General features: G+C 52.5%; 1 protein-coding gene and 1 long non-coding RNA gene across 6 annotated transcripts in view, besides 3 other annotated features; one reads left to right on the top strand and one right to left on the bottom strand.

Annotated features, from left to right (window-relative positions):
• The window catches only part of LOC105371716 (uncharacterized), a 64,911-nt gene that overhangs the window by 249 nt on the left and 48,937 nt on the right, over positions 1-15,725 (bottom strand). The window contains exons 3-4 of the long non-coding RNA XR_001752822.2: positions 3,232-5,304; positions 594-1,413 (exon numbers count right to left, since the gene is read on the bottom strand). This is a non-coding gene — a long non-coding RNA (uncharacterized LOC105371716). The remainder of the gene's footprint in view (positions 1-593; positions 1,414-3,231; positions 5,305-15,725) is intronic.
• Positions 9,824-15,725, top strand: part of SEZ6 (seizure related 6 homolog) — a 51,536-nt gene continuing 45,634 nt past the window's right edge. For 4 of the 5 annotated variants that reach the window (XM_011524315.3, XM_011524317.4, NM_001098635.2 and 1 more), the window contains exon 1: positions 10,231-10,449. In XM_011524315.3, the coding sequence (XP_011522617.1) occupies positions 10,395-10,449 (55 nt within the window). In that variant the 5' untranslated portion in view covers positions 10,231-10,394. Of the gene's footprint in view, positions 9,909-10,230; positions 10,450-15,725 lie in introns of those variants that run through there. The other variant, NM_001290202.2, reaches the window with a different exon arrangement.
• Positions 10,285-10,468: a silencer, noted in NCBI's record as "fragment chr17:27332814-27332997 (GRCh37/hg19 assembly coordinates)". NCBI's record gives its function as "represses an EF-1alpha promoter that drives an FKBP-Casp9 reporter gene in an ReSE screen in K562 erythroleukemia cells {active_cell/tissue: K562}" and the evidence as "EXISTENCE:reporter gene assay evidence [ECO:0000049][PMID:32094911]".
• Positions 11,819-12,443: an enhancer, noted in NCBI's record as "H3K27ac-H3K4me1 hESC enhancer chr17:27330839-27331463 (GRCh37/hg19 assembly coordinates)". NCBI's record gives its function as "activates a minimal SCP1, AML or CMV promoter by ChIP-STARR-seq in naive and primed H9 embryonic stem cells {active_cell/tissue: H9 hESC(naive and primed)}" and the evidence as "EXISTENCE:reporter gene assay evidence [ECO:0000049][PMID:30033119]".
• Positions 12,444-13,070: an enhancer, noted in NCBI's record as "H3K27ac-H3K4me1 hESC enhancer chr17:27330212-27330838 (GRCh37/hg19 assembly coordinates)". NCBI's record gives its function as "activates a minimal SCP1, AML or CMV promoter by ChIP-STARR-seq in naive H9 embryonic stem cells {active_cell/tissue: H9 hESC(naive)}" and the evidence as "EXISTENCE:reporter gene assay evidence [ECO:0000049][PMID:30033119]".

Raw genomic sequence — 15,725 nt, 5'->3', positions numbered from 1 at the left:
TTATTAGCCTGGACAAGTTACTGCTCCTCCTTGACTCAGCTTCCTCCTCTGCCTGGCCAACATGGTGAAACCCCATCTCTACAAAAAATACAAATATAGGCCGGGCGCGGTGGCTCACACCTATAATCCCAGCACTTTGGGAGGCCGAGGCGGGCGAATCACGAGGTCAGGAGATCGAGACCATCTTGGCTAACATGGTGAAACCCCATCTCTACTAAAAATACAAAAAATTAGCAGGGTGCGGTGGCGGGCGCCTGTAGTCCCAGCTACTCAGGAGGCTGAGGCAGGAGAATGGCATGAACCCGGGAGGCAGAGCTTGCAGTGAGCCGAGACAGCGCCACTGCAGTCCGGCCTGGGCAAAAGAGCGAGACTCCATCTCAACAACAACAAAAAAATACAAATATCAGCTGGGTGTGGTGGTGCATGCCTATAGTCCCAGCTACTTGGGAGGCTGAGATGGGAGGATCACCTGAGCATGGGGAGGTTGAGGCTACAGTGAGCCATGATTGTGCCACTATACTCCAGCCTGGATAACAGAGTGAGATCCTGTCTCAAATAATAATAATAATAATAATAATAATAATAATACTTACTTCTTGGAGCTGCTGCTACTGCTGCTCCTGGCCAAATAGCAAGAAAAGGAAAAACAAAACTACAAAACTGGCAGGCTCTTCTGGGTTGTTGGTTCAGGGAGCAACAAAGGGGTCCTACTTTGGGTGACAGATCACCCTTCTCAGCCTTGGTACGGAGCGAGCATTCCATCAATGGGGCTTTTGTAATAGTTATTGATTCTGTGACTATTTATTGAGCCCCTTCTATATGCCCGAACCTGAAGAAAAACTATTGAACAAGCCATGATCCCCAGCCTTTAAGGAGACTAATTCTGGGGTTACTATGGGAGCTAGGGCACCCTCCTCACCGGAGGCTCTCAGGAATAAGGGTGAGCCCTATCTCTGGGAGATAGCTTAGAAAGTGCTCCTGGAGGCAGGCAGATGGATGTGAAGACCTCATGCGGTAGCTGCTTGGGGTTGTTTGAGGCATAATTATCCAGCAGAAGAGCCTACTAAACATCAGTCAAGAAGAGCCCCTCCAGAATATTGTTCTTTCAGAAAGGGGAGGATCCTTCTCCCGATGGGTCTTGCAAAAATGTGGTCAGACTTGGGGTTCAAGTCTGCAAGAAGCCAACAGTGACCAATTGACTCCCCTGCCCCTAAAGACACCAACTGAAATTGCAGCAAGAAACATGGAGGTTAAATGAGATTTGGAAAGCAGTGAAGGAGACCATGATGAAAAGATTCCCCTGTCTGTCTGGAAGCCTGGTCAGCTGCCTTCCTTGTGACATTCCTTTCTCTGTTCCTACAAAGCTCTCCTCTCTCTCCACCTCAGCTGCTGGTGGAGACCCCCATGGCCAGCCTTAAGAGAAACATCAGAAGAAAGTTAATAGCGAAACGGTCTGGCGGATCTAATTGATTTTTTTCCTATTGGTTCCCTAATATAGGCAACACCGTTCCTGCCGCTTTTCTGGGCTGGAGATTATGTCATAAATAAAGAGATTTGCTCCCTATTTCCATGTGCTTATCTTTAATAAGTTAAGAACTCAACAAGCTTTAGGAGGACTTGAAATAAGCAAGAGATCCGGTGGTGGCTTTGGCTGTGGCAGTGGCTTTATTTCAACAAAGGGGGAGGCAGATTGCTGAGGCTAGTGGAAGAGAATTTCCATTCTTTGAGTTGCACTGGGCCTGGGCTCAGCTGGGAGAAGAGAGGGGCAAGTGAGAGAGCTGGGGGAGGAAATTCGTGGTGGCAGATATAGTAAAATGGATGGACCCAGCCCATGGGGCTGCGGGTAATGTGGTAGTTAAGAACATAGGTTCTAGAGCCAGGTAGCCTGGGTTCAAATCCGAGCTTCGTCATTGCTTACTAGTTGTGTGACTTTGGGCAAATTACTTAGCCTCTCTGTTCCCACATTTTAAAAATGGATAATATCTAGCTCATAGGTTGTTGTGAGGATCAAAATGTAAAGTGCTTAGACCAGAGCCTGGCACAGAATATGCACAGAATATATGTTAGCCAGTATATTATTAAGATATCCTCTAACTCAGTTTACCTTAACTGTTGCTGAGCCTGTGCCATGTGTCAGGCCCTGGTCTGGGCTTCATAGATGAGTTCACTCTGACTTCAAGGAGCACCCAGCCCCTGTGACTGGTATGAGCTGGGTGTCCGCACTAGAGGGAATCCAGAAAGTGAGCGGTCACCCCTTTCGGGGAGAGACTGCCATCCTATGGCCCTGTCTTGAGGTTCACCCACTCTCCGGTTCTGGACACCCCACAGATTAATTCACATTTCCTGAAAACTGACAGTGAACACAAACTGTGCAGCGCATGCAGAAACAGCCTCACTCAAGTTTAAGTACCATGCACCTCATGTGCCAAGCTCTGCTATTTATTTGCAGGGTCTCATTTAGTCCTAATCAACCCTATGAAGACAACAGTATTGCTATCTCCCATTTCACAGTTAAGGAAACCAAGAAACAGAAAGGTGATTTGCTCAAAGGTGATTTGCTCAAAGGCTTACAGCTAGCAAATAGCAGAGCGAGGATTTGAATCCAGGTCCATTGACTTCCCCTGCTCTAAACATTGCCCTGTAGCCCTCATCCTGCACTTACAGTGCACTTACAATTGCAAGCATTAATAAGGCACATATAATATGCAAGATCCTAGGCATAAGGGCTGAGGGGGTAGAAAAAGAAATAGAAACAAGTACAAGTAGATAGAAACAAGCACCTACTATGTGCCAGGCTCTCCAACAGGTTATCTCACTGAATACTTTTCTGAAAGGCAAGTGGCATCATTTTCCTTTCATAGGTAAAGAAATGGAGGTTCCAAAACTTGCCCAAGGCAAACATTAGGTTGGGATGATTTGAACTCAGGCCTGCCTCTGAGGTCCAGCCAATGCTCAGGATGACCCTCAATCCTCCACTTCTCCTTTTTTTTTTTTTTTTTTTTGAGAGAGTCTTGCTCTTTCACCCAGGCTGGAGTACAGTGGCACGATCTTGGCTCACCACAACCTCCGCCTCTCAGGTTCAAGCGATTATCCTGCCTCAGCCTCCTGAGTAGCTGAGACTATAGGCGTGCACTACCACACCCGGCTAATTTTTGTATTTTTAGTAGAGACAGGGTTTTGCCATGTTGGCCAGGCTGGTCTCGAACTCCTGACCTCAGGTGATCCACCCACCTTGGACTTCCAGAGTGCTGGGATTACAGGCATGAACCACCGTGCCCAGCCTCCCTCAGTTTCTTGATGAGCAGTTTCCCTTTCCAGCAGGCCTTGCTCTTGCCTACCCCGAATGTGGACCTACTGCAGATGGGCTGAGAAGTGGAGCCCTCCCCCTGACAGGCCTTGGGTGGCCTCCCCCTTTCCTAGGAGATGATCTCTATCCCAGGCTTCCATTTTGTATTCTTCCTTTCTCTTGCAGGCCATTGTCTGGACCCACATATTCTGTTGCTTTAAGGACTGGTGACCTCACAATCAGTTGCCATAGAGACCATTGTGATGTCACAAATAGAGGACAAGTAGTTCAAGGAGGAGTGGGGGAGGGAATATGCTGAATTAAGGGACATTGGGAATTTCTGTCCTATTTTCATGCCCAGAAAAGGAAGTGGCTAGAAGTGTATCTAAGCCTGGGTTCTGATGTCTAAGGGAGACTTGACCATGTTCTCATATCACTTCCCCTGGGTTCTCCTGAGACTGTGATGTCTCTAAGGCCCAAATAAAGGGTCAATGAGAAGGAACATCAGAAACACTCCCTGCCACTCTGGGGCTATAAGAAGCGGGCTGCTTTTGTAGCAGGAAGGAATAGTATTAGATGCCAGGAGGATCTGTGTGAATGGAAGATCTCCCCGGAGGTAATGAAGGACCCTTGCCTTGGGAAGCTTGAAGCATGGGAGACTTGGCCTCTAGGGCTTCCAGAGCCTTGTTTAAGTACCTTGTGGAGATAAACATGCTGTCTTACAGGGTGTTGGGGCTGTTTCCCCTCCCCAGTCTGGGTGCTCCTTGAGGGCTCTCCCTCTCCAGTAGCTAGTTCAGGTCCTGGCATACACACAGTGCTCAATAAGTGCTCACTCATTCAGTAAATGAATGAGTGGGTGATGAATGAATTGGGAGGTAGTAGGGTGAAGGACGAACGAATAAATGGACAGATGGATGGGCAGGTAGGACTCCTAGAGATTTCATACCAGCCACTAAGCTTTGCTACACCCCAGCTCTCCAGCTACATCCCACACCACAACTCTTGTTTGCTGCCATCCAGCTACACTAACCATCTCTTAGTCCTGCCTACCGATGTACATGCTGTTCCCTCTGCATGGAATGCACTTCTCTTCCTCTTCAATTAAATAACTCATCCGCATCTCCCTGTAGCCTCCCGATGCCCACCTGCCAGGGGCAGCCCACAGGATGCACCCGGGGCCTCTTCCCTCTTTCTCAGGAACTCACCCCACCTGGTGACTCACTCTCTCATCACATGGCCATCAACCTGGTACCAGGTTCCCAGCCCCAGAGCAGCACCATAAACCCAATGCCTCTGGACAGATGTATTTTATGTAAGTTCAAGCACTAGAAATATTGAGTTCAGAGGATTTTATTTCTAGAGCCCTCTATATTTCTCTGGGATTATCGCCTGTCTTTGTTCCCTCCCTCTCTTGGTTATTATCTTTGGACCCTTTCCAAGCCAAGCTGCCTTGATTGCTTGGGATGACAAAGGCCCCCAGCATCCTCCCATGGTGTCTCTGGGTCTGGTGAGAGTGACCTTGGGGGACCCTTTCTTCTTCCTTCAGCATAACCCTGCAGGTGGCCACAATGCCAGGCAGCCTTGGCTTTTAGGAGCTGGCTTCACTAAGAGACTAAGTGTCAGGGAACATGAAGGGGATGGTGAAAGTGGAGGCCTCATGCCCCCCAGTTGCAGAAGGCTATGCTTAGAATAAGCTCTGTGGTACAGAGGGGATGGAGAAGGCCAGCTGTTCTCTTTCCTACACCATGCCAACCTAGCCTGACACCAAATTAATAGTATTCAAATGAGATGCAAAGCATTATGCAAATCTAGAGGAGAAAGCCACTCTTACCAGGCTGTTGGAAGGCCAGCACCTTGAGTCCTTTATGGAGGACCCCACGGGCTTCTTTCAACTTCAACCCCTGAACCTTCAGCACCAGCTGGTGTGAAGAATCCAATGAGACTGGTGCAGCCTTCTCCCTGATCATCTGAGCTGGAGCTCACTCTGGCCTCACCCCACCGCAGGTACTCAGGGCCTCCTGAAATGATACAGAGGCAGCCACGGAAGGTAGAACAACCTCCCTCTGGATGCCAGAATTCCAGCACCCCACTCATCAGCAGTGTATGCAAAGTAGATGCAGGGTTTTTTTGCATCTATTTAACCGTCCATTAAAATGGCCCCTCGCCCGTCACCTCTGCACAGGCTCAGGCTTCCAAATTGCCAACCCCCGCTGCCTGCAAGCACCATGTGGTTCCTGCGCCTGGTAATTGCTGTGGTGTTTGTTGAGCTGTATTTGCATTTGATTGTCATTTAACTTTCCATCTTTCTCCTTCAATCAAACCAGAGATTGGGCTTTTGCAATTGATTATTCATTTATTTTCATCCCCTTGGTAGTTTTCAAAGAGTTTTCTTTATTAGTGCCCCAAATTTGAACCCTGGGACTTCTCCTGCCACATGATGGGGGAAAGCCTCCTCCCATCCATCCCAGAGCTCCTATGTGAAAATAATCTAGCCAACATTGTACGTCTTAAGTCCTATCCCCAGTCTCCCTGTTTCAGCACCTGCCTCATTCCTGCCCAGCCGGTGGCATTAAACATTTATGGAGCTGTGGAGGATCAAAGGCCTCGGCTGGGGGTGGTGGGCAGGCTGGAGGCCTCTGTTTGGAGATGGAAAGTAGCTCACATCAAACCACTTTCTGCTGCTGTCTCCATCTACCCTGAGCTCTTCCTGCAGTCAATCCTGGAGCAAGAGCAAATGCCTGGAGCCAGGACTCTCCATTTATCAGAGCAGGGCCCTCCTCCTGCCCCTAAATTCAATGGGTTGACTTTGGGTAATGCAGGGAGCCCTGGCTGGAGCACTGGCATCCCTGACTGTTCCAGGAGCTGCAAGGTCTGGAATCCTGCTCCATGAAGTGGGTTGAGGTAAGCAGGCAGCTCTGAACCCCTGGGAGCCTCTGGAGTGAGGTGGCAGCCCCTGCCCTTGCCTCCCTGAAACACCAAAACCCCTTTGGCTCCACAAAAGATATAGCTCTGGTTTGAAAGCTGTCTTAGAAGAGAGTAATTTTCTCCTCCTCTCGTGCAGAAAGCAAGTGTCATCTCAGCAGAGACTTCAAAATAAGTCACCAATGTGCCTGTGATCCTACAGATTGATGGGCTGTTTGGAACTGGGGAAGTAAAGCTGGCTTCTCCAGCTTCAATGGATGGATGGGGGCTCTATGTATGTCTGGCTTTGTCTGGGCAGGGGTTGGGGTGTCTGGGATTGAAGAGCCCCTTCTTCCCTCTCTCTGGTCTCTCAAACCTAATTCAGTCACTGTAGCTCAGACACACACCCCACCCCCTGGCTTCGGAGTCAGCAGTGAACCCCACAGTTCCTACCACTTGCCACAGTGCTTGAAAACATACCTTAATGATGCCAGATTGCTCTGTTTCAGTGCAAATATCTTCGTGATGGGGTAATCCCTTCAGTATAGCCACCAAGGATGTCCTTCAGCTCAGGTGACCACCAAGCCATTCACAGCTAGGCCCCAGCCTACTCTAGCCCTTTCTCCTACTTCCCAGCAGGGACTCTGCTCCAGCAGAACCAGTCTTCTCACTGACCCAGACTAGCTTGCATTTTCCAACGCTGTGCATAAACTACACCCCCCAACTTTGAATGTCTTCCCTCTCCCTCTCCATTGAATCATAAGACTTATTTGGGCTAGGGGCAGTGGTTCATGCCTGTAATCTCAGTCCTTTGGGAGGCCAAGGTGGGAGGATCACTTGAGCCCAGGAATTTGAGACCAGCCTGGACTACATACAGAGACCTCATCTCTACAAAAAAGTAAAAAATTAGCTGGGCATGCTGGCTCATGCCTGTGGTCCCAGTTATTCAGGAGGCTGAGATGGGAGAATCACTTCAGCCCAGGAAGTCAAGGCTGCAGTGAGCCCTGATCACACCACTGCATCCCAGCCTGGGTGACAGAGTAAGAACCTGTCTCAAAAATTAATTAATTAATTTTTAAAAACATATTCAACTTGGTTTCACCCATCCATTGTGTGAAGATTTCACTGACCTTGCCTCATCCCCAAAAGAAACAATTGCCCTTTTCTTCATTATCTCACAGCACTCATTTGACACCAATGACCGGCCTTGGGCTTTAGACACTCCTCATCCCTGTTGTTTATTCACAAATATTTATTGAACATCTACTATGTGCCAGCCACTGAGCTAGATTGTGGGTAGATGAGACAGACACGGTCTGTGCCTTCGCAAAGTCAACAACTAGTAGAGCAGACAGACAATTAAGCAAGCAATTACACAGACAGGGGAAGCCCAGGGTTCTCTGGGAGCAAAAAGCCAGGTGGGGGATGCAGAGAACAGAAGTGAGAGCAGTGAGGGGAGCCTTGCAAGTCCACCCAGACTGCCACTTTCAAAGGTGCCTATGAATTGAGTAGACTATAAGCCTGCCAGCCCTGTATACAGCTGATTGTCCCCTTGGGCATTTTATTGTTCTCAATTTGTAGGTAATATCAAGGTCTGGTTAGGACGAGCCCCTTGGAGGGCATGATAGAGGGCACCTGACAGAAGCTCTGCTGTTTCCCAGTTTGGCCCAGGCTCTGCCTCAACCTGCCTAGGAACCCACTGCATAAAGGCTATGTTAACTGCCTTTAGGAGGGAGGGACAGCCCCGGTGCATTGTCATGCCCATCATGCAGTACAAGCCCATCTTCTGAGCTCAGGGTACAGTACTGTATTCTGGGACTTGTAGTCTCCATTGGACCCTCTAGGTTAGTTCAGGCCATAGGGAAGGTGATGTGACAAGTTCCAGGATGGCTTCTCTCCCCCTCCTTTATGTGCATAGTGCCCAGCCCATCAAGGAGCCCTGTTGCTAAGAGAGTCAGACAAGCCTGCCACCAACCTCCAAATCCCCATGAATCATCCTGGCAATACAAGATTCATCCCTAGGTCATGACTCACTCCCCTTGCCCAAGCTGCCTAGCCATGAGGGACCAGGAATACTAGAGGAGCCCAGGAATACTTTCAAGGAGGAAAAGAGGAATCTCATGACATTTGCCAGCATTTTCCTAAACTTCCCCCGGTCACACAACCTTCTACCTCTGTGTCTCTTCCCTTCCTCTGTTGGCAACTCTCTTTCTGCCTCCCCTCTTGCACCTTCTTTCCTGGCTTCCTCTCCTCACCCCTGATTCTTGCATCAGCTCCTCCTTCTTCCTGCCATCCTTCTGCTGCTGCCCTCTTTTTCCTCAGCTTCTCAAAACAACTGTCCAGAAATCCCAGCGTCTTCCTAATTCCACACGCCATCTGCCTGCTGCCTGGGACTCTTTACAGCAGTCATCACAGCTCCCCAGAGCCCACAAGAAGAGGGTCTGGAGAGAATCCAACCAGCAGAGTTGGGAGACTCTGGTCAAGAGGACCAAAACACTCTCTAAGGAACTTGAGCAGAAATTTCACCACCTGCTTCCAGGATGAGGGTCAGGAAGGACACTGGACAATGACTGGAGTCTGGAAGCTTTGGAGAGCAACCAAGTTCATGTAAAAAGAAACTAAACAAAAAACTGCCCTTCTCCCAGGGGCAATAGGGAGTTCAGCCCTCCTATTCCTCTACAGGGAATAATAACATCAGCCATAGGATCCTGTCCCATTGTACCCATTAAAGCTCTTCAAGTGAGCCCATCCATGAGCCCCTGCCTTTAAAGAGCAGCCTCAGGATGGCACAGCTGTGACTGCCCCCTTGCTGTCCTGTGACTCACTGGGGCTCCTCAGCCCAAGCAGGGCCCTGGAAAGTTATTTTTCCATGCCTTTAATAGTACAGGCTACACCCCTGGGCCTCCTTCAAGTCTCTATCTAAAACAGCCGTAGGGCACAGTGGCTCATGCCTGTAATCCCAGCACTTTGGGAGGCCAAGGCGGGAGGATCTCTTGAGGCCAGGATTTCAAGACCAGTTTGGGCAACATAATGAGACCTTATCTCTGCAAAAAATTTAAAAATTAGCCAGGCTTGGGGGTGCATGCCTGTAGTTCTAGCTACTTGAGAGGCTGAAGTGGGAGGATCTCTTGAGCCCAGGAGTTTGGGTGAGCTATTAATATAATTGTGCCACTGCATTTCCAGCCTAAGCAACAGAGACCCTGTCTCTAAAAACAATAATAAAATAAAATAAAATAACAGCTCTAGGAAACCCTCTCTCATGCCTATGCCATTTTCTCCACCAATTCCAGAAACCTGGGCAGAGATGGCATGAAGGGTCTGTATCGACTGTCACTGTGGCTTCTCTGGTCCTGCAGAGGGGCCAAGGCAGAGTCCTGGAGACCCAGGGCTACGTGGGGACCCAGGATACTACCTTCAGCTGCCCACAGCTTGGCCCAGGTTGCCTCCTGCCAAGTGAAGAATGTCTCCCCAGGATGCGAGTGCCACTGGCTTTTAACTATAATATCAGGATAATTAAGCTTTTCTGTGAGCACAGTTTGCTGCTGATGCAGCTGCCTGGAGCCCTGGCATTTATTGAGCGCAAAGTAATAATTTATTATCCTTTGTACGCTCAAAAGCCATCTTCATTATCGTCCCAAGACGGAACTGCCACAAGGGCACGCGGGCCTCACCAGCTGCCTCACTCTCGGATGTCTTCCCAGGTCACCCTTGACGCCCTCAGGTACCAGGATTGGGTGGAGAGGGGTGGGGAAAGTGTTGCTCTTTCTCATGGAGAATCAGAAGGCTACAGTGAGCTATTAATTGAGGTTCCTTAGCAGGCCGTTAACGGGAAAGAGGGTGGCATGCTTGGCTGGGGGTGGGCAGCGCAGAAGGGCAGGGGCCGTGTGCCCACATGAGTAGGGCAGTCGCGGTGGAGCGGGAGCCTGGGCTCCTGCCCCTGGGTCTCTGCGCCTTTGCATGAGACTTTACGGTAAGCCGCTCCTCCCGCGCCCCCGCCCCCAGCCCCGCTCGGCGATCCCCGGCGCCGTCGCCAGGCGCTGGCCGTGGTGCTGATTCTGTCAGGCGCTGGCGGCGGCAGCGGCGGTGACGGCTGCGGCCCCGCTCCCTCTACCCGGCCGGACCCGGCTCTGCCCCCGCGCCCAAGCCCCACCAAGCCCCCCGCCCTCCCGCCGCGGTCCCAGCCCAGGGCGCGGCCGCAACCAGCACCATGCGCCCGGTAGCCCTGCTGCTCCTGCCCTCGCTGCTGGCGCTCCTGGCTCACGGTAAGGGACCCCGGCATCCGGCGGCAGGACGGGGGCGGGAGCGGGGCCCCAGGGGTGGGAAGGGAGACCCGGTGCCCAGCTTCGGGCATCTGGCTGCCCAGTCCAAGCACCGCGCCCCGCCGGCTGCGCTGCCCCCGGCGCCGGCCAAGCCGGGCGGGGCGCGGGCTTCGCGGGCGGGAAGCTGCCGCGGCTCCCGCCATTCGCGCCCGGCCGAGACCTCGTCTTTAATCATCTCCCCAGATCTAATGGGATTTCTCTGATGCAATTCATCACGCCACCCACTCCCCGCACACACGCGCTCACCCGCGCGCTACCTCGCCACACTCTAGGCATCTCAGGGTGCTGGGGCGCGTGCCGGGGGGCGCAAGGCAGTGAGTCGGGACGGTCCAGCTGGCGGCCCGTGGTCCCGCTTCCCCTGCCGCCCGCCAAACTTCGCTCGACTTTGCCGCCGGTTCCAGGGCCTCTAGTGTTCTTACTGAGGGGAGACGGGGCCGGATGGCGGCCGGACCCGGGGTTGGGACCTCGCTCACCTCCCCATGCCCTGGCGCTGCCACGCCAGAGTCGGGACCTAGAGCACAATTCTAGAGAGAAACTCCAAGGGCCTGGACCCCCTATCTGGCTCCTGGCTCTGCCCTCGGCTGCAGCAGCGGAGATCCTGGGATAGAGACTCTGTCCTCCCCAAAGTCCTTTCCTTGTACACACACACACACACACACACACACACACACACACACACCACTGCCCCGAGCTCTGCCTCCCTCCCGGCCTGCCTTCCTGCCCGGCCCTGGTCCACTCCCCACCTGCAAGGCAGATTTGTCTCTGGAGGACCTGTTCCCCACACCCTGAGAATCCCCGCGCCCCCTCTAGGAGTCTGGTCCCCAACTTCGTCGGTCTTGGGTAGAGGGAAGCTTGGCCATGGTGTGAGCGGCAAGGGAGTGTTGGGGAGAGGATAGGGGTTCCGTGCCTCGGGGAAGAGTCTTGTCTGGACCTGCCGTCCTGGCTCAAACAAGCTCTCATGGAAGCTACTGGCACCCACGTCCTTCTCCCGCTGCAGTAGGCTGGTAGGGTCGGCAGAACCGCACTTGGAGTTGAGACCTGCCATCCCTTGCCATATGGTTTGAAGGGCCTGATGTGAAGTGTGAGGGTGGGAGTTTCTAACCTCCCTGCTCGATCTTTCCAGGCCGCTGCCGAGGTCAAGGCAGCGCGGCCAGGGACAGGCTGGGCCCCCGGACGGCAGTTTTCTTCATCCAGGAAGAAAAACTGTGGCCCCGGAGACGCAGAAGCCTTTTTCTGAGCCTCTAGCTCCACTTGCACACAGCCCAGTGTCCTCACCCCGCTACCGGGCTGCCCATGCTGGATCCTCCGGCAGCGCCCAGAACTTGAAACCGTGTGCTCACGTTCTGGGGAGAGGGGAAGAGTCCTGCAAGACCCACCCCAGGGATGAAGACCGGGAAGGAGAAGTGTGAATCCCTGCCTAGCTGCCTGGGGATGTCCCTAGGAATTCCGAACCTATCTTGGGTCCTGATGGGTCCTGGCGCTGGACAGCTCCCCTGGGGCGCAGGGCCTGTGTCTGTCCCCTGGCAGTTAGTCAAGGCCTTGTGTGTGAGTTTGTGGGTCTGAATGTGAGAGTAATCAGGGCCCTGCATGACTAGAGGAGCCAGTCCCAGTGTGTCTGCACTTCAAGTGGTCCGAATCTTGGGTGAGGGGTCAGCAGTGAATGGGTGTGAGGACTGTGTGAGGCCACTAGTGTGTGGGTGCAGCCTCAGCCAGAGAGCTCCCTGCAGGGCTAGAGTGAGACTGTGGGAATCCAGGAGGAAGGCTGGTGTGGCCAGGAGTCCCACCAGCCCTGATGGGGATGTGGGTGTGAGTGTTAGGAGGAATCTGCTCACTCTGTGGCCTCAAGTCTGTGTGTCCCTGGGCAGTGTCCCTTCCTGACTATCAGGATCTCCAGTGCCCATGGAGGCACCTGCCAGTGGGATATGTGGGGTAGGAGTCTGGCTGTTGGGAAAGACCTCTATTTTCACTCCCCAAGGGAGACGAAGAGGCAGCCCCGAAGTGCCAAGCCTGAGGATGAGAGGGCTGGGATGTCAGAGCTGGGTAGCCAGAGGCTCCTCTCTCCTCGGCTGGACTGGAGGTCCCAACCATTGGGATAGTGAGTCATCTCAGTGGGGAGCAGCGCATTTGGCCATCCCGGGGTTCCTGGGCACTTTAGCTTTGTGAAGGCGAGCCTAAAGGAGCAAAGACCTCAGGCTATGAGCCTTTTCGGCCCGAGGGGTGCATCCCTCAGCCTTTCAGCCCCGCCACCTCTCTGATGAGGCCCTCAGAGCTTTGCTCATAGGCAGGATGCAGACTGCAGGATGTAGCCAGGCACGGCCCAGATGCCTTGGAAGGCCTGGTATGCCGAGGCTGCGGAGGTAGGGCAAAATCGTGCTGGGCTTGGCCCAAGCTCACAGGCTCAGTCCCCTATTCCCTTCTGCAGCCTCCAAGTCTTGATTGGCGTCAGGCATCAGGGGCGTCTTGGGCCACGGGGTATCTTCCCAAGCTGTGTGGGGTGCCTGGGCCATCCAGCCACAGTGGAGGAAAAAGCGGTGTTGAAGGGGCTGCGTGTGCCGAGCCTGCTGTGTCAGTTTAATGATTTTTAATGAGCAATTACCTTTAGTCATTCTCCTAATTTCTGAATATCAATAAAGTTAATTAAACTCTGCATGTGTGAATGTGGCCTAGGGAGATTATGAAGGTGGAAGCCGCTGAGACTGGGGTAAGGTTGGGTCTCAGGAATGGAGGCTGCCTCCATGGCTGTGTGACCTTGGACCTGCTGCTCCACCTCTCTGAGCTCCACTTGAGAATGTGGTGATAGAGGGGGCCTGGGGATGGCTAGTCTGGGTTACTCACTCTGCCAAGAACTGAGGGATGATGTCTGGAAGGGAAGGTCTGGAGGAGAAAAGAGAGGAAGGACGACTCAGCTTCCAGGAGCCCTAGTGCTGCAAGGGTTAACAAACGAGGGCTGCCTTAACCTAAAATGGTAATTGCTGCTTCCTGCAGACTCCTTGGTAGGTGCTGGATTCTAACAGCACATCCATGAGTCTGGGGGCTGCTGCTGAAACCAATACTAGGTCCTGTTCCTTGTCCCCAGCCTGGCACTTCGGGATCAGGAAGTGGTACTGGGGACAAGGCCCCATGGGAGACAGTCCAGATTCTGTTCAGAAACCCAGAGGTTGACATGGCAGGCAGGAGCACACCCCCACCCACCAGCCCCGGGCTTCCAAGGAGGCTGGAGGACCCAGAGACTGCCATGGACAGGAGAAGCCTGAGTTGGCTTTTTGCTCCTCATAGGTCTAAGCTTGGCAGGCCCTGGCGGCCATCCTGGCCTCCTCAGCAGGGTGGCCGCTTAAAATGCCTTGGGGACACTGTGGGGCACTAATGGAGAGCAAGGAGACACAAGGGCTGGGCTTAATTAGAAACTGAGCTTCCATTCCCCACCAGTACTACCATGCCTGCCTAAATATGGGGAGCATATCAGAAAGCCTGCTTCCTTAGCCCCTCCATCCATCCAGTTCCAGGCCCTCCAGCTTCCTGTGCTCCTTGTCCCCACCTATCCTAGCCCAATTAAGCCCCATCTGCTGGGCTGGGATCAGCTCAGGAATGCTGTGCCCCCACCTGGGCAGAGCTGTCATGGCTCAGCACTCTACCAACCCCACCCCTACCCCCACCAAAAAAAAAAAAAAAGAAGAAAGAGGGTGCAGAAAAGGGCCTATTAGGCAGGAGTTACATTAGTGAAGGAACTTCTCAATCCAGGTGGTTAAGAACCCAGGCTCCCATGTGATCTCACATATACCCCTGTCCTCTCTGGGCCTCCACTCTCTGGAGCCTTCAATGGAAGTTGCCATGCCTTATAGCACAGGAGAGCCTCAAAGTTCTTGTCAAGTCATGCAGATTTCTGGGTCCCCAGCTTACTGGCCTATTCTCAGGGAGGAGGAGCCAGGTTCTATACAGAAGAGGTTTCTGGCGGAGACTATGCTGCCAGCACTGGTCTGCAGCTGGGTGGTGGGAAGCAGGCACTAGGAGGTCTCCAAGACCAATTCCAACAGGAAGTGGCAATTCCAGGAAGCCGACCCACCCAGCCAGGCCAAAGGAGTTTTAGCTTCAGTTTTCCAAATTAGCCAAGTCAAATGAACCAAGTTCTCAACAGCTTTTGGGCTCTTATCAGCCTTTCTGCCTGAAATTCCTTTCCCCTCCCGGACCAATCTGGCTCACTCTACCTCACGCTTCAAGTATTAGCTTAGCTGACACTTCCTGTAATTCTCCAGTACCTATTTAAGGAGCATCTACTACATGGTTCCTCAGGGGAGCCAGGCCTGTCCTCCAGCCTGGGTCAGAGGACTCTTCTGTGCTCTCACCATCCCTTGGCTTCCCCCATCCAGGTCCCCATCTTGCTAGGTCACAAGTCCCTGGTTGCTTGATGCTCCAGCAGCAAAACTAAACTCAACAAAGATGATCCCAAGTCTGTTTTGTTCACCCACTATGTCTTGGGGAAGCTCTAGAATTCCTGTTTGGGAGAAGTTTAGGGTCAGCTGCTTGGTTAGAAAGGGGAGGCGGGCCTATGGCAGCTGGGACCGAATCTTGAAGCTGAGTTTGCGTAGCAAGCATGCTATTTTTACATAGATTGTATGTTAGAATTTTTTTCCTTTCCTAACAGTTGGCCAATTATCCCAACTGTAAATTACAGCCTTTACTTCGTTTTTTCCTTCTACAAATTAAGCTGTCACGCCATCAGCCTGAGGTGGCTCAGGGATAGGGTGCTGATGGCCATTCTGAATGGGCTAAAGCCTCTCCCCAGTCACCCCTTAGTGCCACCACTGCTTGTGTCCCCAGTGACACAAAGCCTAGCACATGGCAGACATTAAATACATGTTGAATAAATTAATGAGAGTTGCACAGGTGGGTATTGGCAGAGGTAAAGCCCAGGATTCCTGACCACCCCCCCTATAACAGCCACCCTAAGCACCCACCCACTACCCCTAATGGCTGAGAGGGATGCCTCGAATGGACTTGGCTGGCACTAAGAGGTAAGGGAAGGATGAATCCATGTCATCTGGCTCCATAGCCCCCTCATCCATCTCCCAGCTTCAGACACTCTCACATAGCTTGCAGGGACCAACATGAATCTTTGGGAGCAGCTCTGAGCCTACATGCCCTTTAATGGAGAGGTGGAGGCCTAAGAATCATCCAGAACCACAATAATTCAGGTCCACAACTCCTAAAAGAGCAGGCCCTGG

The sequence above is a fragment of the Homo sapiens genome, chromosome 17 (assembly GCF_000001405.40).
Source record: "Homo sapiens chromosome 17, GRCh38.p14 Primary Assembly".
Taxonomy (NCBI): domain Eukaryota; kingdom Metazoa; phylum Chordata; class Mammalia; order Primates; family Hominidae; genus Homo; species Homo sapiens.
Note: the sequence above shows the minus strand (reverse complement) of the source record. Positions and strands in the feature narration are given on the sequence as shown.